Raw genomic sequence first — 21980 nt, forward strand, 5'->3', positions numbered from 1 at the left:
CCATCCGTTTATGTATTGTCTATGGCAATGTTACATCAGTGACCATGTAGTTTGCAAAGGCATGCCTTCGCAAAAAGGGTATGCCTAGGAAAAAGTTTGCCAACTTTTGAACTGAAGGACTTTTTAATACCACCTTTTAAATATCCTTTTCATTCCAAAAATTTCCTGGTTAAGATTTTTTAGGGCAAATAAAGGGGAACCTTATTTCACTGAGATAATTATAATTCTAAATGACACATGATTATACAGGCTGCCTATTATTGCTTTGATAAAAACAGGCATTGGGCTTGGCCTCTCCACAGACTGCTGTACTGGTCAGTTGCTACTTTTCTATTATGAGTGTCTGTCTCATACACTCACATCAGCTTCTTCACACTCTCACTCCTCTGCTGCTGCTACCTCTTCAAGGATGCTTCTTGAGCCTGCATTAATTATCTGCCTCCTTTCCCTTGTTTCTTCTTGCTAGTTTTACCATGTTTCTCAGGTACTCTGGATTTGGTGAAAATACCAGAAGCTTTGATCATCTCATATTATTTACCTTATTTGGTTCTAGCTTATTTTTTAAAAACTTCAGTGTTAAATATTTGTTTAGAGTTATTCACATACTAATTCACACTAACTTCTTACTTATCATTCCCCTTCTTGCATCTCAGTCTTTCCTTTTGGGTTTAATTTGCTTCTTCCTGAAGTGCATCCAACTTGTCACTCCATTTGTTGCTTGGGGGTACTAGGCACCTCTGGGCGTGGCCTTGGATCAGCTCTTGCCTTTTGCAACAATACTCTCTTGCTCTTATTTGGGAATTTCTTCTTTGGCCCTACCCTGCTTGTTTTCTGTCTTTCAAGGTTTCCTTATCATTTCTTGTTTGATGGATCCAATTCTTCTGGTCCAAAGCAGATACTGATCAACTCACTTTAAAAACATCTTTTCTGTCACTGGGGGCAAAAAGAGAACACCACAGAATGTGCTCACACCTAAACTTTGAAATGGAAGCCTCTCATCTGTTGATCTCTACATTTTTCTCATTTACCAGCTTGCCAATTAAAAATGAGGCCACAAGTCTTTTTACCTGCAGATATGTACATGTTCCATTTCTCATTAACTGACCTGACAGTACTTCTGAAAGGCAATTTCAAGTAATAGTAAGAACACAGGCTGCTGAATCCTACATCTTGGAACAAATCTTGATTCCATTACATTGTATTTGACTTTCAAGCAGTTAGACCACCCCGAGATAAATGGTTTCCTTATCCATAAAAGAGAGATAATAATACCTAAGTATTTGGGTTTATAATAAATTATAAATGATACAGCATATCATATAAAGTTTGATTTCAAATATTCTAGCAATCATGTTTGTTTTTCTGATTTCTCCCCTATTAGTTGTGATCATACTGAGTTTCTAAATCCCTGTTTATTATTTTGCCTTTTTTCGTATGCTAAGGATAAATCAACTGGATAATGTATTGGAAATGTCAATGAATCTGGAAAGTTCTTAAACCAAGTCTTTTCAAGTGAATTCATAATAATCCATAAGAATTCTACTTTTGATAAAAGGCAGAACAAATTAGACTTAATATAAACACTGATTATAACTTTTAAAAGATGCACTGGAACAACTCTATTTTAGCAACTAAGAATTTTTGAAAGAGTATAATCAATTTTCAAAAAAAATCTGCCTAACAAAACTACAGGGTATCCATTAAAGAAGCTTATGCAATAATAAAATCAAAGTAATTAATTTTGAAAAAGCAGAACTAAAATGTACTATGCTGATTTCAAAAAGAAGAAAATCTCTTTCATATAAAACAACAGCTCTACATGGTTACAAACGGTCTGCTACCAACATAGCTATCTCCAAATGTCACTTATTTGGCTAAAAAAAGTCAAGGTTCAGACACAAAAGAACAAAATGGGCATAAGCAAAAGAAAAAACAAACTAGTTAAAAGTAAGACAACTCACAATCAATAATTTAGCAACACAGTACACACACAGAGAACCTTCTGGGATGACATCTTAGGGCCTAATGTACATGCAAATCAAGCCAACTTTTCAGGAACTCATTTAATGTTTTCAACTCTTTAACAACGGAAACTTACAACCACAAGGTCTCAATGACCTGAAGCCTCATGTTTTGGGAATAAGGAGTACAGAACAATGGTTTGGGTTCTCTATAGAATAAAAAATATATCCTGTTTTGTTTTTCCTAGGAGGACAGAGAGGTCTAACACAAAGAAAAATTGTTCTGATCTACAGTTTGAGATATGGTTAGAAGGAAAGAGTACATTTAGGGCAGCTCATTTAGTAAATGACAAGGGACCTAAGCAAAAAATGATCCCATGGAGGTTTTTATTTTCAGAGAACAAAACCCTTGGCTGGGTAAAAAAAAGGTCAGGGAAAAGGCGGGAACGAAGGGTAAGGAGGGAGTCCTCCATTTCTTTTGAGAGCTAGCAGATAGGCTGAAGCCATGGAAATAAAGCCAATGCTGAGGAAGAGACCTGGGACAGGCCAAAAATAAAAATAAAAAAATCAGATCATGGTCATGTGTCTTAAATCCAGGGTCAAGCTGTGCCTCAACTGTACAGTTATATAAATTAATAAGATCTCTTTACTGTTTAAGCCTGTCTGAGCTGGGTTCAGTTACTTGCAAGACAGAGTCCTAACTAATACAATATTGAAATTATATAAATCTTTCATAAACAGCAAATCTGTTTTTGATACAGTAAGCAAAAATATTTCCCAGGGATGAAATTATCTAGCAGTATTCAAAGGTACTTTGTAATCCTTTCGCAGATCTTGGGGAGGGATGAACAGTAAAGAGAAAGACAGTGACTGGAAATCTTTGCGAGCACACCCTATCACAGATGCTGGATCCACTAGCGGCAAAGAGTAATATTTCCATTTATTTTGGCTTTTGGACAAATGCATCATTCTTATCAGTAAGGTATAAAAATTGCTCTTGATATATAACCCAAACCCAAACAACAACAAACATATTTAAAGAAATCCAGTAATTGTGGTTAACATGAAGCTATGGATAGAAAAAACCCTAGCTCTATTTAGAGGACCCAAATTAACTGCTTTTAGAACCATATCTTTACAAAGTTGTCAATAAAGTGTTAAGAGATAAATGTGCTATCTTCTTTCCCAATTTTCTTCGTATCTTACTGAAGCTGACACTACAAAGCATTAAAATCCTCTTCAGCCTTAGTTATAATAAAAGCTACTACTTATTGAGTGCTTACTATGTATCAGGCACTGTGGCAAAATGCTTTATATACATCTACTCATTTCTGTTTTTCTCTTGCTTCTTTTAGTAGGGCTTAAGATCCCAAATGAAATATTATAAACAACACTTTCCAGAGTATGGTCATAAAATGACAAGGCTGGGATTAAATACTAGTGATAATACTGTAACTGGTAATATTTTCTGAAGATTTCTTGCTTTCCAACATCTGTAGGATCCATCTAATACAGCTAGAATGGCGGCAACTAAATGGTTAATTTCTGAGTCTGGATTTTGAACTCCATCTAAGGGCTTATAATAGCAAAGACAAAAAAGGTAGGAAAACTCCAAATTTACCACTATCTCAAGCATATCAAGAAACCAGATAACTTGGAGAGTCCTTACTTAACAGCAAACTACCTCTAACCATTTTGCTCGGTATGTATTCCAGAAAATGAAACATATACATTTCAAACCAGTGCTACTCAAAGCATGGTGTATGAACCTGGTGCCAGTCCACAAAGTGTTACTGTCCAAAATGACATTCTTCTATATCATCAAGTACAATGGTTATTTCAAGCTGGTTTCTGTGTGTGTGTGTGTAAAATATTTTCTTGACAAAGAAGACTGCTGATTTATATTCACCCAAGCTCCTTACCTACCACAAACTGGTAACAGTTTATGGGCCAGCTATTTTGAGTAACACTACACTTCAATTTTGTATATTGCTTCCAGTTTTCTGTCCCTGCTGCCACACAAAATTCAAATAAATTAACAATCAAATACTTGGCTTAAACACAGTAATAGAAAAAGCAATACTATTAGCAATTGACCTCACCTTTGACAGAAGCAATTTCACACAGGAAACATGACCCTCATAGACAGCAGACAGAAGAGGAGTAATATGATGTTTATCTGGAGCCTATGAAATAATAAACAGAGATAACTTTATCTGTTTTTCATTTCTTCCTACTTTCTAGTTTTAACTAGAAAACTCTTTCTAGATTTACCTATTTGCCTTTCTAGAAAATCAATCAATCAATCAATCCACAGAGTCAAGTGTCTAGTCTCTTAAAGCTACCAGAGACCCAAGCCCACGAGCAATGTCTTTCCTTAGGAGTCATAGTAGTAGAGCATAGGGAGCAGGGCTTTGACCTCAGCTCAAATCTTGGCTCTGCCACTTACTATGGTACTATTATTTAGCCTCTCTAAGCCTTGATTCCCCACAACTGTAGAAATGCCAGTGTGGTCCAGTAAGGGAAAACAGGGGTAAAACACAGCCAAAGAGGAGGTAAAAGGGCCGGGTAGCATGGCATCCCCTGAAATACAGAAGCTACAAAAGGCTAAAGTTGGGAGATGACTGCGCTTATCTGACCACTTGCCCATTGACCTTTGTCCAATAATCCATTTTAGATTTAGCCTATGACTGCAGAGTCCTATGCTGTATTACATCATAGCCATTTGTTACCCACAGATAGTGCTAACTCCCCAAGCTTTAGAACTTGAAAAGCAACAGCCACAGGGGAAACATACTAACCTTCAATTTTTGTCAGCTTAAAAAAGTCAGCTTTTTTGGCTTATTTTTAAAAATCCCACCACTGTATATCTAAGTTATAGGCAATTTGGCATAATTTCAGACTGTATTCTTATTTAGAATGAAGTTTCTACAAATAGCTATTTTATAATCTATAGAAAACAATTACCCATAGCATATTAACAGAAAATTTTTTCAAGAATGATCACGTCCTCTACGTACATTAATATCTGCTCCTTTCAGCAGCAGAAATTCCAGGATTTCAAGCTGCCCACAATCTGCTGCATAATGAAGAGGTTTCCTTCCACCTTCTAGTGTCCGGTTGACATCTTCTCCCTGATAAGAAAACCAAATGAAAACAATATTTATATGAATGGAAGACTGAAGAAGTGAAATGAGGCACCTGATACTTTTACTTTCTTAAAGCCGTGAGAGTTTCATGAAACAATTAACATTTCTTGCAAAATAAAATAACCAAAAACTTGAAATGAAATTCTGCACAAGAGTTAACATACAGTATGATGGAAATTCAAGCCACAATTAGTTAAGCTGAAAACAATATACAATAATGATAAATATAACGAAATACATTACTGTCCTCCATTTCTAAGGAGTTCAATCAGCATAGTGTCAATATGTGACCACAGAAGACTAGTGAGTTCAAGCACTGAGATTTTACACAGTTCATATTACATGTATTTTAATTCTTCAAAGAAAGTATTCCCACTTTGATGTAGGCAGCCATCAATATCACAATGTAATTTCAGTATTAGGTATTAAGAATTTATTTCATTTAACATTCAGTAGAGCCCAATTGTGTAGCAGGCACTGTGCTAGACAGTAGGAAGACAGTGGTCAGCAAAATCAGACATGACTCCTGACTGTATGAAGCTTACCGTCTGGGGTTGGGGGGCAGATATTAATAATCACATAATTAAACATATAATTTCAAAATACAAGTGCTACAAAAAATGGAACTCAGGGCTTTCAGAAGAACATGACAATCCTGGTGATGAATGGAGGTATAGTGCCAGAAAAATGAACTTAAGTCCAAAAAAGTCATTTTCATTCACTGAAGATTAACAGAGACTAAAAATGATGACTACCTTCGCTATGGACCAGCTGCAATACATCTGGCACTGTGATACACCCATTATTTCTAATCTTCAAACTACCCCAAGAAGAGAATAACCTCCATCTAATACATGAAAACTCTAAAGCTGAAGAGGTTAAATAACTTTTTACTGTGGTTCAGTTAGTAACAGAGTAGAGATTTAAACCCATTCTCTTTCTGTACCAACATGCTGTTTCTAATTCGCTATTTGCCCCTTCCCTCTTAGGAGAGTTCAGATTTTACTGAGGAGCAAAACATCCTATATTCTCTCAGCCGGGTGTGGTGGCTCACACCTGTAATCCCAGCACTTTGGGAGGCCAAGACTGGTACATCACTTGAGCCTAGGAGTTCAAGACCAGCCTGGGAAACATGGCAAAACCCCATCTCTACTAAAAATATAAAATTAGCCAGGCGTGATGGCATGCTCCTGTGGTCCAGCTACTTGGGAGGTGAGGTGGGAGGATCCCCTGAGCCCAGGAAGTTGAGGCTGCAGTGAGCCATGACCCTGCCACTACACTCCAGCCTGGGTGACAGGAGTGAGACCCTGGCTCAGACAAAGTTTATTTTCTCAACAATTGTATTATTCACTTAGCATAGTTTGGTCAACTCATCAAGCCATACCCTGAATCAAGATGTTCAGAGCCCTATCATTTTACAGCCACTATAAACCATTCTTTCAAACACACATACTCCAAACTCCTCCAAACTCCCCTTCCCCTTTGTCACTTATGCCTGCTCCCTCCTTCCTTCCCATTAATTTAAATACTATAGGTCCTACAAGCCTCAATCAAATTTAAGATTTACTTTGTCTATGAAACTTTCCATGATAATGGCAAGCTCTCTTTCTCGTAAAACTCACAGGAATCAGTTAGTATTTAAATATATGGTACCCTTACAACTTTGTGTATGCCTTCTTTCCCAACAGAATGCAAATTCCTTGGGAGTAGAAATTATATGTTTTCTTCTTTATATTTTCCTACAGTATGATGTGGGAGTTAAGAACAGGAGCTCCATCACCATTAGATCTTGGGCAAGTTACTTACTTTCTATGTGCAGAGATGACAGTACCTGCAGCTCATGGAGTTGTGGGGGTTAAACTACATGATCCATGTAAGGCACTTAAATATCACACTAGCTAATATTAACAGAAATACGGTTAGCTATTATCTATAAGTATTATCTATGTATGTAATAGGTATACTCAAATATGAATTTACTTATTTTTAAGCATTCTGAGAGAAGGGTGATATCAACTGTCTACCATAGCAACCAATGGTGTCAGTGAAGCATTAAGGGAACTAAATTATAGAGTGTTTCCAAATTCCAGCCCACATGTGTATTTCAAATATATATTTTTTTGGAGGATCAAGAGTTTCATCAGAAAGCATTTTCCTACCTGAAATATTAGATGATAAAACAATCTAAGTTAAGACTACTTCAATAATTCAAAGCAATAATTTCTAAATGATTGTTTACTTAAGTTAATATGTGATACATGCATTACAACAGGGCCTCCTGTAAATCAGAAGGATATAGAAGGAATGTATAATGTATATATGTAATATAATGTATATATATAATGTCTATATAAGGATGTATAATGTGCCTAAAATCACTGGAGACCAGGTTAGCACTCCAACTCTACCACTTAGTTGTGGGACCAGAGACCAGGTACTTTCTAAATTTTGGTTTCCTTATCCGTAAAATGGGAATAGAAATGTCTACACTTCACAGGGTTTCAGTGTTTCACTGGAAGAGATAACCTATGCAGTGTTTAGCATAGTGCCTGACACATTGTTTAACAAATGTTTAATGAAGGCTATTATATTTAATAAAGGTTCACTATTATTTTTGTGGATTCCTGGTACTGGCTTATACTAGACAAAAGATTATTCAAAATAGGATTAAGGCAGGTTTCTGCATAATGGTTGAAATATGAATAATTAAAGATATTATTTATTGTAACATGCTTTATATTCAAAATCAAATTTAAATAGTAAGGGCGAACTAGCATACCACCTTAGTCTTTATTCACAACTACAAAAATGTTGTTGAGGCAAAGAATGCTTAACAATTCAGATAAAATTAGTTTGCCCCCCATTATTAACATTTCCTTTCTGTTAATATTAGCTAGACAGGATTAACTGGACGAGTCTTTAGAGTGAGACAAAGCAAATAAATAAGTGCAATAAATCATCAATAAGATCTTTGTCAAAGATACTTCTGTGAACCAAAAATGTTACATCCTTCAGGGCTGGGCACGGTGGCTCACGCCTGTAATCCTAGCACTTTGGGAGGCCGAGGCGGGAGGATCACGAGGTCAGGAGATCGAGACCATCCTTGCTAACACGGTGAAACCCCGTCTCAACTAAAAAACACAACAAATTAGCTGGGCGTGGTGGTGGGCACCTGTAGTCCCAGCTACTTGGGAGGCTGAGGCAGGACAATGGCATGAACCTGGGAGGCAGAGCTTGCAGTAAGCCGAGATTGCGCCACTGCACTCCAGCCTGGGTGACAGAGCGAGACTCCATCTCAAAAAATAAAAAATGTTATATCCTCCCTTGCACTCTTAATACCAGTGCAAAATGCCTATGAAATGGAGTTGTGAGTTTAAATTTTCTCCTTTATTCCTTCAGACATTTACATTACAATTCTTATTTTAGCAGACAAAAAGACGATGAGACTGAAAAGGCTTTGTGTGACTGACAGAAAAAAATCCTTGTCAGCAGGGCCTTAGCAAAGCAGTACTTATAGAGAAATTTATAGCACTAAATGCCTGTACTGGAAAAATAGAAAGATTTCAAATGAATAATCTTTGTATTTCCATCATAAGAAACTAGAAAAAAAATTAAATCCAAAATAAGCAAGAGAAAAGAATAAAGATCAGGGTAAAAATCAAAGAAACAGAAAACAGAAAAATGAGAGGAATCACAAGCTGATTCTTCAAGATCAATACAACTGATAAGCCTCTAGCAAACGTCATCAGGAAAAGAGCGAAGATACAAAGTGCCAATATTGGACAACAGATTACCTCCCCACAAAGAAACCTTCAGACTCCAGATGGCACCACTGTGAATTCTACCAGACATTTAAGGGAAGAAATAATACCAATTCTACCCACTCTTCCCGAAAATGGAAGCGATGGGATGTTATCTCAACTCATTCTATGAGTTCAGCATTACTTTGATTCCAAAACAAGACAAAGATGTTATAAGAAAATACTGTATGCCAATATTCCTCATGACAAGTGATGGAAAAATTTTACACAAAATTTTAGCAAACGTAATCCAACACTATGTAAAAAGGATAATATACCATGACCAGTGGGGTTTATCCCAGGAATAAGGTTGATTTAATATTCGAAAAGTCAGTGAATATAATTTACCATTTTAACACAGAGAAAGCCATATGATTGACCATCTCAATGGATTATAAAAAAAAAAAAACCCAATATGCATTTGTCATCAGAATTTAGCAAACTAGGATAAGAAGGAAACTTCCTTGGCCTACAAAAAACCTACATTTAAGATCATACTTAATTGGTGAAAGACTGAATGCTTTCCTCCTAAGATCAGGAATAAGACAAGGATGTCTGTTCTTACCACTTCAATGTTGCACTAGCGGTTCTAATCAGTACAACCAGGCATGAAAAGAAATAAAAGGCATCCATTTCGAAAAGGAAGAATTAAAGCTGTCTTTATCTGCAGATCCCATGGTTAGGGGGGTGCTGAATGACAATTTCACCAGGTTTTCAGCAGTCTTGATGCACCGGTGGTAGGTCCAATAGTGGTGATGAAATAGGAAAGGAAGATAGTGCTCTATATAGTTCCTTTCTTCCCTGCCTCCGGCCTATACTTTAGGCCTTAGTGACATTAGCAGAGATAAAGATACCTATTCTGTAATCTTCATTCTAACTTCATAAAACATTACCAGTTACAGAAAAAAATGAAAACCTAATTTTCTTTCCCAAATTCTGGGGATAGAGAAGAGAGATACACAATATTAACACGTTCCTTAGCTCACATGGAAATGTTACCATGTTTTCCTTTTCCTCTGGCTCTTCCACTTTCCACAGATACTATTTTAAACCTCTTCTACTTATTATAGACCTTAGACTTTTCTGTCTCCTCCTTCCCCTTCATTCTCAGCAGATGAGCCCATATCCTTCTTTATACAGAGGACATGATCTCCCTCAGGAACTTCTATCACACCTTCTTGGAACTGACTCATCCTCTCATCCTATCAAAAGCCATCCCTCACCTATGTTCTGTATATCGTCCCTTCTTTCTTTTTTTTGGGGAAAACTTCATGTTTCTTTCTTTTCTTGACTGTGTTTTCAACCTTTCCTGTTTTATTGGCTCCTTCTCACCAGCATGTGCCATTCACAGCTCTTCCACTAAAAAAGCAAACAGCAGCAACATCTTGTTGGACTTGACATCTGCCCTTCAGTTACTGTTCTCTTTCCTCCCTTCCAGGGCTAAACTTTACAAAAGGATTGTCTGTATTTGCTATCTCCAGTGTTTCACCGTCCACTCTAATTTGGCTTCCACCCTCAACACTATTACCATAACCATTTTTGCCGAGGTCAAGGGTCTCCATGTTGCAAATACAAAGCTTCCCTTTACTCTTAAAACTCTTTCTTTTCATTGCAACATGAAGTCTGTCAGTTATTAAATTCAGAACCTAGATTGTATTATATTAAAACATACTAAGTTGTTTTGAAGCTATTATTTTCTCTAAATATGGTATATTCCATATATGTAATCTAAATAACATATATAATGTATATACATAACATACATATGAAACACTACTACTTCATAGTATATTCTGGTGAGTAGTTTAAATTAAATACATACACTGTATCTGGAACCACCATAGAAACCATAACATGCTTTAGGATGGGTTGACTTCTGGTGCTTCTAAGAGTAAGATGAGGATTTAGATTATAGTGGAAAGGAGAAAGTCTATGTGAAATTCTAAACCAAATGGAACCCAAGAAAGGTCTTAAGATTACATTCTGGCAACCCGAGATTAGCTTCTCTTGAGTCTTCCTTGGTCCTAACCTGAATTCTTCTTAGTGTTAAAAAATTGGAAAGAAAAAAAAAAGTGACAGTGCATGACCAGTTTACATCAATAAGTTGGTGAGTTCCATGTCAGAGGAGAACCTAATTATTATATCATTTATTCCAATGTCAAAGCATAGTGCTATAATTTTGATGTGTGTCCAGGAAAATCTCATGTTGAAATTTGATCCCAATATTAGAGGTGCGGGCCTAAAGAGAGGTGTTTGGGTCATGGGAGCGGGATCTCTGAAGAATAGATTAATGTTCTCACTGGGTGTGAGATAAGTGAGTTCTTATCCCATTAGTTCTTGTGAGAGCTGGTGTTAATAAGAGCCTGGCACCTCCTCCCTCCCTTGCTTCCTCTCTCACCATGTGATCTCTCTACACCTGGCTCCCCTTCATTTTCTGCCATGAGTGGAGGCACCCTGTGACCCTTCACAGATGCAGGTGCCCAATCTTAAACTTTCCTAGACAACAGAATCAGAATCATGAACCAAATAAACCTTGTTCTTTATAAAGTACTCAGCCTCAGATACTCCTTTGTAACAACCCTAAACGGACTAAAACACGTGGCATTTTAGGACTGGGCACTGGACAGGTTTTTCAACCTAAAAAAATTAAATACTATTGGTATTTTCCTGATATTCTTGATATATAATTCCCTTCCTTTAATCCTCATAGTTCTTGTTTATATGTCTTTCATTACATTTACCTCTATTCGATCAGGTATGTTATTTATATACTTTAATAAAAACTTCATTAAAGAAAGGACAATGAAAGAACAATGTCTTACTTGTTTATATACTGCCTACAATGTCTGTGGGTGACTTGTGCATAGCAGTCTTATTTTAATAGTTTCTACAGTCACTTATAACAGCTTTGTCACAGTGCAACCTGTTGCCTACCAAACAGCTACTACTTCACAAAGTGGTATTTTTAAAACCTTATTAGGGTCTTTGAAAGTTATACAATCTCAGTGTTGGAAGGGGCTCTGAATGTCATCTAATTCAGCCACCCATTCTATGTTTTAATCCTTGCTTGTGTCTGCCCAACCTATAACTGAGTATCTCTAATGAAAGGCAATTCAGAACCTTGCTGATCAGTCCATTCCTGCTCTCAGTACTGGAAAATTCACTGTTTACTAGTTATGGTTCTATCTCTTGCAGACACATGGCACAAGCAATTCTTATTTTTACATTAGGTTATTACTTGTGTTTAACAGTCACAACACACTGTAACTACAACTAATTATTTTCATTGATTTGCTGTTATCCTGAATTTGAGTCACTAATGGGTCAGAGAGACCTACCATCTGCTGATCCCTGATCTAGTTCATGACACTTTCATCCAATCATCCTTCCCCATCATTCCCTCAAGGATATCTCTGAAACATTCAAATTTCACTAAAGTATTTCAGATTATCTTTATAACAGTCTAGAAACTTCAAAGAAAGGAAATTAGTACAGCATGATTTCTAACCGATCCCCTGATAAGTGTTATAAACCACTCCATTGCCACCACATACATATTTATAAAATAAAATCTGGAAATTAAAAAATATTTTAGCAAGGCCTACCATCCAAAATACAACCATTGTTACCACTCTGCTATAATTCTGTTTAATCTTTTTCTATGAAAATAATTGCTTTAAAAAGTTGTGAACACACTATGTATTCTTTCACGAGACATCATTCTTGAAAGATACATATATCCTATCAAGTGGATGTACCATAGTTTACTTATTCTAATTCTAGACATGCAATAAATATCAAATACCCTGTAACACTAAAATTCTTATTTTATAGAACATAACAGTTACATTATTTCATTGATTCCTAAGCACACATTTTTCTGTATTTTAATGTCCCTAAAATTGGTCACAGACACCCTTTGCCTTGGAGATTGGCGGAAAAGTACTCATGGGTTGATTATGTACTTTGTGTAAACACTAACAATCATTCCCTATGCCTGGCTTTGCTACTGAAACCTATACATGGGTGGGTCAAGACATTAGAGTGTAAAGTATAGAATTAGATTAAGCTGACTCTGAAGAACATAAACGGTGAAATTCACTGATTCGACCTGATGATATTATTCTCATGAAAATTTGGTGAGTGTGCCATCAACTATTTTTAATCCAGAGAAGAGAAATTAAATATTAAATAGAACATGTCTTACATCTAATTTCTGAAAGCAATGTTATTGGCTGTATAGGAAATATCCCTAGAGTTTAATATATGCCACCTGGCTATCCCCACTGAGTTATTTGCTTTTTTAACAGTACTACAAGCAAGGGAAGATTTTTCTAGTTTGTCAGTATTATTCAGGAGGAACATCTGCTTGTTTTTTTTTTTAATGGAACATCTGTTTTTTTAAGATCAAGATAAACTAAGTGTATTGCCTCCTGCTTTACTGCAACAACAGAATGAAATCAAACTTACATAGTATACTTTCCTCTTTACAATGCCAAGTTGTTTTTTCCTTCTAGTATTTTATGCTTATTAAATGGTTTATTCTAATATTTTCCCAAAGACATCAATTTGGTTACTCAATCATTCATGAAACATTTACTGATAGCTTATAAAGTTTTGGGAACTGTGGCAAGCATCTGAGATAGTGATGAAAAAGGAGTCATTCCCCACAAGGAATCTGTAGCCATAAAAGGCAAGACAACAAGTAAACCATTCATATAATGTGATTAAATTATATCATGTGATTAAAGCTGCAGTACAGGCTATGAGTTTGTTTTGGGAATACAGAAAAGGAGATGTAAGGGGTCTAATCAAGCTACCATGAAGAGATAATTAAGCTTGGGCTAAGCCTAACATTTTTTTCTTTAAACATTTTTCTCTTTTCCAGTCTTCATGATTTCATGTTTTTTTAAACAATGTAATGAAGTTATGCCTTAGGCAATAGAGAATATAAAAGATCGGGTGAACAAAACCACCAGCACTAGGATTCTTCTAGTACATAAGCAGGTTTTAAGTGTGGTCAGAGGCAATCCTCACATCCTAACTGCTAGCACACCCTAAATCTGAATAGTATTTCCCCTTTAAAGGATAGGTAACAAAGAAAACCAATATGGAGGTAGGGTATAAAAATCATATAGCAAAAGAAATATATTGAAAATTCTTTCCTCTAAAATGTAGTAGAAAAAGAAAATAAAGAAAAAAAACTCTAAGGAAATACATACCTCTGAAATGATTCAATATAAGAAACTTAACTTTAGTGTTTGCCTCGGCAGCACATATACTAAAATTGGAATGATATACAGAAGATTAGTACGGCCTCTCTGCAAGAGTGACACGCAAATTCATGAAACAGTCCATATTTTTTTGGTTTTTAATTAAAAAAAAAAGAAAAGAAACTTAACTTTAGAAAACATCTACAGAGTAATCAAAATGGAATCCAAAAGACATGGGCTCAATAAGTAAGGGTGTCTTAAGAAGAGAACAGGCAAACACACACAGTAAACAAACTGAGGTGCAGGCTGATAGGAAAGGGAAGCTGCAGAGAAAGTGACATATAGCAAGGAAATTAAAACTGCAATTGCAAAATTAAAATTTGTACCGAAGTCAGTAGAGTTGGGAAACACTATTCAAATTAAGAAAACTCAATTAAGTAAAGACTTGAGAACAAACTTAAGAAATTTTCCCAGAATACCGAAGTAATAAACTAGTACAAATGTTTAAAGAAAAAGACGATTGGCATTAGGAGTATAAAGTTCTAACTTATAAATGATACATAACCAGAACAGGAACAGAAAGTTTTCTGAACTCAGGAAAGACCTGAGCCTATAGATTATAAGAACTCACTGTATTGTAGGCAAAAATTCAGTTGATTCCCCCCCTCCCAAAAATAGTTTTAGAATTTCTTTAGATAAAGCAAAAAGACTCCCAAAATTAAAAAGTCAAAATCACATTAACACCAAAAAAATTAAATTAGACTGGTCTCATATTTGTGGCTTCCTTAGAACACCGAATTCCAGAGGACTACAGAGAGAAACTATCTATAGCAATGATATTTGGAGAGAGTTTGAGATATATACCTTTTTTTTTTTCTTTCTTTTTTGAGACAACGTCTCACTGCCTTGTTCAGGCTGGATTTGAACTCCTGGGCTAAAGCAACCCAGCCTCCCCAGTAGCTGGGATTACAGGTTCAATGTGCTAGGCTCTTAACATCAAATTTAAAGATAAAGAATCTTGAATTTTGTTAAACAACAACAAAAAGAAAAGTAAACAAATTTCCAACCAGAAGCTGCTACTGAGAGATACCTAAAAGCAAAATATGAAAATGTGAAAAAAATTTGTTTAATGGTCAAAAATATACTAGGCACATACATCTAAAAAGCTAGGAAGAGTAATCTTGGTACATGATAAAGTGATAAAGTAGAATCAAAGCAAAAAAAGTAAATGGGAAAGATGTTCATTTTACATGAAAAAATGTAAAAGCTAGTTATGAATTATCTGAAGAACGGCAAGAAAACAACTGACAAAAATAGCACTGTACAGAGAGACTATCATAATCATCTTAGTCTTTGGCAGGTAAGGACACAGCAGGCATGATTAATAATTAATGAGATTGTTAATGTATATCAAACTTTGTACTCTATGGAAATTGTACGTTACTATTTCACTGAATATCAACAAAATATAATTATAACAGAACAAAGAAAACTTCAATACATTCTGAAGTCTAAAACCTTAGAGAACCCATTATCTAATCCCAGTGCAATGGGATTAGATTGCATTAATCTAATGCAATTAATTAGATTAGATTAATTGGGATTAGCAAAATACCAAAAGCGTTAGCACAAAGTAAACATAAGAAAAAAAAATGAATGAATGAACAAAAATAACACACAAAACACATACACACAACCAAACCAATACTAAATCTCCTAAATTACTGATGGAGCAAAGAAGGACTCAATACTAGAATTGCAGACCATTTTGAAAATAAATGTTAAAATATTAAAGTATTCTATTAATGGCAAGAATATTACTTATGGACACAACCAAATCTGTGAAAAACCAATCTGGAGGTGGTTAAATTAATATGAAATTACATGGTTTAAAAGACTACCACTGTTCACTAGATTTTTCCCAGCTGTTTTCAATTTTTTCTCCCTTACTTTCCTAACTGGTTTTAATATGAAACATAAACATATTAACAAATAAGCGGTATGTTTTTAGAAGTTTCAGATTTTCTCTTCAACAGCAAAATCTTTTACATGCTCCTCCACAGTGTGGCTTGGTGGGGATTATTCACTAGATTAGTACTTCTTACAGGCCTCTATTACATAGCATTAGGTTTATTTGAATAATAAACAGTACAATAAAATAGTACTCTTTATGCTATTTCTAAGTGAAATGGCCGACTCCTACAGAGAATGGTTTTTAGACCTTTCTTCAGGTGAAAAGAAACAAATAATACTCTTTGTTTGATCTGTAAGATATGTACGCATTGCTGCCACTGAGTTCCAAGGTATAGGTACATACTGTACTGCCACAAGAGATCAGTGTCCCAAAAGCTACCTAACAAACAGTAGACTAAATTAGCATATGTGTCACCACTTTGTACCACAGCATGTAAACTAAATATTGGACACCTGACAGTAGAAAGCAGCAAAAGTATTAAATTTACAAAATTCTATATAGTTGAGTCGATGTCCCCAATAATTTCAGTTACAGTTACGTATTATCCTTCCCCAATGGGAATTCAGAATTCCTTAAGACTGCAGTGTTTAATATTTAAAAAATGACAGATCCATTTGAGATGAATGTTATAATATAGTCCCTCCTTTCCTAATACTCTCTCTCTGTCCTCCTCCCTACCCAATCCCCCAGGTTGAAAGTCCTTATTTAGGATATAACTTTGCAAAAAAGAATCACCTATTACTGTACTGGTGACTGATATCAGTGTGTCAAACAATACCACAATTATAAATTACAACACAGCAATGGGTTTATATGTAAACTCTACCACTGAGGCGGCAAAGCAAACAAGAAAGGTGATAATACATTAATACTTTATTTGGAACTTTACAATACAGAAAAACAGACAGATGGCACAATAGAAAGAAAGAAGGTCTGTAAGGACGAAAGTATAACATCAACCTGCTCTTACTTGACATATTTTCTGAAATGTTAACGTCACACCAAATGAACTTTCTCTTGCTGACGTCATCCTCCCAAATGCATCAAACTTTCAATGATACAAATATGAACTCATTTTAAATAATGAATAACAATACATTTGTTATGTATTCTTATCCCACCTATACATTTACTTGGAATCTTCAACTTAGGCATTTTTTTCTTTCAAAAATGACTACTTCAGTCATTCAAATTATAGAAATTTCAGTTTTAGTTTTCAGCTGATTTACTTATTAAATACACACCATTTTTCTTCTTTGGAAGGTTTAGAAGCAATTAATTACACTTAGAAATTTTCTAATTGAAAATGGTGAAGTATTTTTTAAAAGCTTGTGGGAAATTAAAATTTTAATAACAAAACACGTGTTTATATAAAGAAAGACTATCAAAATTAAGAAAATCCATTTAAAACATTATAATATGTCAATTTGGAAAAAATTGTCAATTTGGAAAAAAGACTAACAATCAAAAAGTAGCTTCATTTATAAGATTCTAATTCATGGCTCCACAGTTGGAGGGGAGGGAGGGAAGAGAGGAGAAAGGAACCAAATATAACTTTATCTTAACAAACTGTATAGCTGCTTTCTAAGTGTTATCCATATTTCATGTATTAAATAAGGGAAATAATGTATTCAGAACTCATACAACCATCTTATCTGCTGTATGTTTTCTAACCCTTTTAACTAAACCTACCAAAGAAAACTCATCTCAGTGGCTGACACTGTAGGTGCTCAAATGGTATTTGCTGCATTAATTATGAATGAATCAGTGAAAACTGCTAACCAGCCTTCTCTTTCACTTCTGGAGTTGGAAATCAAGCCAGGGACAGGACTCACATTAGGGCTGGGAAGAAAATTTTGGAACGTTTTTGGTGAAGGATGATCTCATGCAGCTGAAAAGATTTCGCAGAATCTACTTTCAGTTTAAGAATCTAAATTAGTTCCTATTTGTATATTACAAGTAATGATTCCTCATTTTCAGAAATCTAGGCCTCTTGCCTAAGGTTCAAATTTAGTATAGAAATTCTATGTTTTTTCTTTTAGAGAATTTCATTCAAACTCCCTCTCTCTTCTCTCTATCCACAAGCACCTTTCCATGCCTTGCTTTTCCAGTCCAACATCTTTGAATCATAAAGGTTTCTGAATAATGTTTTTGAAAATGCTGACCCCCAAAATAAGTTTTATATTATACATTTTAATTTTTTTATATCTCAAAAACTTGAGAATAAAGTGAAACTTAGACAAAGTAGTTTTACTAACTTCAATGTTATGTAGAGATGTGCAAACTACGGCTCATGGGTCAAAGCCAGCATGCTGTTTTTGTAAATAAAGTTTTATTGGAACTCAGACTCATTTATTGATGTATCATCTATGACTGCTTTTGCACAACAGCAGAGATGAATAGTTATGATAGAGACTGTGTGACTGCCAAGGCCTAAAATATTTACTAGCTGCCCCTTTACAAAAAATGTCTCCCAACTCTTGCTATTAAGCATTGGCCTCTCTAAATCTCCTCTAAGATCTATACAGACAATAATACAAACAGCAAATACTTACTACAGAATTTCAGTGTATTAAGCACTGCTTTGCAAATTTTACATTTACATTATTTTTTAAAACTTGTACACAACATGAATTGAGTATGATCACAATCCCTATTTACAGATACAAAACTGAGGTTTGATGAAATTAAATAACATGGTCAAGGTTAGTAAGTAGACAGGGCTGGGAATCCAACCAAGGTCTACTGAAATCCAAAATGAAAGTGTAATATCTCTTATAGAGAACTTCAAAATAATAAATAATAAAAAATATTTTCTAAGGACTTAAGTTTTAGGGTCCATATGCTTTTATATTGTTATAAGTAATGTGGCATTAAGTATAGGTTTTAACATTTGTTTCTTAATACCAAGGTAAAAGTACTGATGATTCTTATTTTTCACAAGGAAGCATGCACAAAACTATCTTTACTTTTAGTGAGACTGTATAGTGTTAACAATTCTTGACTGAAATTCTAAAATGATAGTCATGAGAGGTTACAAGTGGAAGTTGCTGTTATACTAATACAACTGTTGTCACTACAAACAGTGTGGGAAGTTGGACAAAGTTCATTGGGTTTAAAACAACAAAGAACTTGAAAATTTAGAGCTATTTCTAAGAGAGGAAATGAAAGAACATCATTTACACTAAGAATATCTGTTAACATACAAAGTGGTATATGGTAAACCAACTTTGAAAACAACAAAGGAAGGGATAGTTTCTGCAAATACCAATTAAATACAAATGTAACGAAACTGTATGGCAGATAACAGGCAATGTGATAACTGTTGAGGATACAAAGATAATTGCTACCTTCAAAAAACCCACAGAATATTAGGTGAGATAAATAGGTAAAAATTAATATAGGGTTCTTAATTTCAAGCAACAGAAACCAAATCAGACTGATTAATAGACATGTAATACATTAACAGATATTAAAAGTAGCTCCCAGAACTGCTAGGAGGATTGAAGAACAAAGCTCAGTAAATGGACAGAAAATAAGGATGCTTAAAAGCAAGAAATACAAGTGTTCCTCTACTTATGATTGGGTTACACTGAAAATGCATTTAATAAACCTAACCTGCCATCACAGCTTAGCCCAGCCCGCCTTGAATGTGCTCAGAACACTTACCTTAGCCTACCATTGGGCAAAAACAGCTGGCATTACAATACACAGCAGAGTACCAGTTATTTACCCTCATGATTGAGTGGCTGACTGGGAGCTGCGACTCCCTGCACCATGAGAGTACCATCATGCATATCCCTAAGCAGGGATATGATTTTGACTTTGAAAGCTCTGATTTTGAAAGATCAAAATTCAAAATTTGAAGTACAGTTTCTACCGAATGTGTATCACTTTTGCGCCATCACAACGTCAAAAAAAAAAATTAAGTCCGGGACTGTCTGTGAAATCAAAATCTGTCACAAGAACCACCTGGGCACAGAAGAGATGCTACAAGTGGCACATAACGACTTCTGCTGTTTTTGGAAAGTGGTGTTTTACTGCTGCCACTACATCTTTTATTATGCCTGAGCATTTGTATCAGCTCTAGATAGACGCATCCAATTAGTCATGTTTGGGATGAGCTCTTTTCCTGTGTGGGCAAGAGAAAGCAATTTATTTGCCCTTTTTGGCTTTTGTTGCGGTGAGCACCAGACCTTGCCTTTGATCAAGATTCATACTATATAAGTAGGGAACTCCTCAAGCACAGGAAGAAGCTTCAAGTGCTATGACCCCTGTCAACAGAAAAATGCCCCACTATAAGCACTGTAGCTTAAAGATCTGAAGACATTTTTTTAGGGGGCTGGAGAGGGCGGTGAAGAGCCTCTGAATTCTCAAGTTTGTGAGCCACTATTCAAGTGACTAAATGGTAATAACTGATCCATATTTATAAATGCACCTTGGTTTTTTCTTAACCAGTCATTAAGACAAAACTCATTTCAGCAGTTCAAAAATTAAAGACATACCCCACAGAACAAGATTTAAGTTTCTTAAGCCGCTGTTTTTCAAATTCAAGTCTAATAACTTGTTAGTCAAGCCAGAAGCCCATAAGCTCTCAAATTTAAGAAACCACAACAGAACATAAACACAATAAAAAAGTTCTATATTAGATGTCACCAAGAAACAATAAACTGCACAAGCAGTCAGGGAATCTATGCAGAACAAAACAGACATGAATATAAAACTTCAGGAAGAAGAAGAAATTTGCCAAGCAGATGTTGTGGGACAAAAAGAATAATTTATTAGAGGTAACAGCTAGCACAAGATGACTTCATTAGCAAACACAATGGTGTAGCGGAAAACCAACCAACCAACCCTCATCCAAGTTCAGGAAAACTGAATTTAAATTTCAATCTCAAATAGCACTATGATACTGGTCAAGGGCTTTCACACTTAATTTTTCCTTATCTATAAAATAAGGGAGCTGGACTAGTTGCTCTGTAAGTAATCTTGCTTCTAAACAAATTTATGAGGATGCTGATTAGTAACAACAGCTAATATTTACTAGCACTCACCATATGCCAGGCACAATGGTACACAGTTTACACTTATTATGTAGGTATTACAATCATTCCCATTTTCACCAATTGAAGAAACTCAAGTTCTGAGTGCTTAATTCACCCAAAGTGTCTAGTTAGTAAGAAGGCCAGACCTGGAAGATCTAATTCCAAAGCCAACACATTTAGCCTCTATGCTATGGTTTCACCAATAATGCAATTCCAAATCCCTAAAGGACAGTGCCATAATGAGCGTCTATTGTACTATGTTTAAAGTGTTTACTACCTACAATTTTTTTGTGGTTGAGATGGAAGTCTTGCTATGTTGCCCAGGCTGGTCTTGAACTCCTGGGCTCAAGTGATAGATCCTCCTGCCTTGGCCTCCCAAAATGCTGGGATTACAGACATGAGTCATCATGCCTGGCCTACAATTTTTTTTTAATACCTCCATTTTTCAGTATTTTTCAGATACTTACTTTAGGCCTAAGTATCAAAATGCTCATTCTTTTTTATATGTCAAATTGAAATCTTCCTAAAATATGTTATACATGTCTCTGACTTTGTAAATAAGAGAAAAGTAACCAAGTTTAAACTTTTCGTGAAGCTCAAGGTTACGCTTATACATATTAATTATTGCCTGAGGCCTCTGAAACTTTAAGGTAAATATGGCTCTTTGCCCTTCACTTTCTTGGGTCAGCTTCTTACATTTTGGTTTCTTTTCTTTCAGTAATCACAGCTCCTCTTTACACTGGTAATTTTCTGTGGACTGAAAAAAAAAATCAAGCTTCTAAGCTTATCAGAATTATTTAGTAAAGATATAGCTGCAAAAAAATTACTTTCAGCCAT

At 35.3% G+C, this 21980-nt stretch overlaps 1 protein-coding gene and 1 pseudogene across 1 annotated transcript in view; one reads left to right on the forward strand and one right to left on the reverse strand.

Moving 5' to 3' along the window:
• Positions 1-21980, reverse strand: part of MTPN (myotrophin) — a 50600-nt gene that overhangs the window by 19776 nt on the left and 8844 nt on the right. Inside the window, exons 2-3 of the mRNA NM_145808.4 lie at positions 4982-5095; positions 4064-4147 (exon numbers count right to left, since the gene is read on the reverse strand). Coding sequence (NP_665807.1) covers positions 4064-4147; positions 4982-5095 — 198 coding nt within the window. The remainder of the gene's footprint in view (positions 1-4063; positions 4148-4981; positions 5096-21980) is intronic.
• On the forward strand, positions 14168-14274 carry RNU6-223P (RNA, U6 small nuclear 223, pseudogene; annotated as a pseudogene).

This window comes from Homo sapiens, chromosome 7 (genome assembly GCF_000001405.40).
Source record: "Homo sapiens chromosome 7, GRCh38.p14 Primary Assembly".
Taxonomy (NCBI): domain Eukaryota; kingdom Metazoa; phylum Chordata; class Mammalia; order Primates; family Hominidae; genus Homo; species Homo sapiens.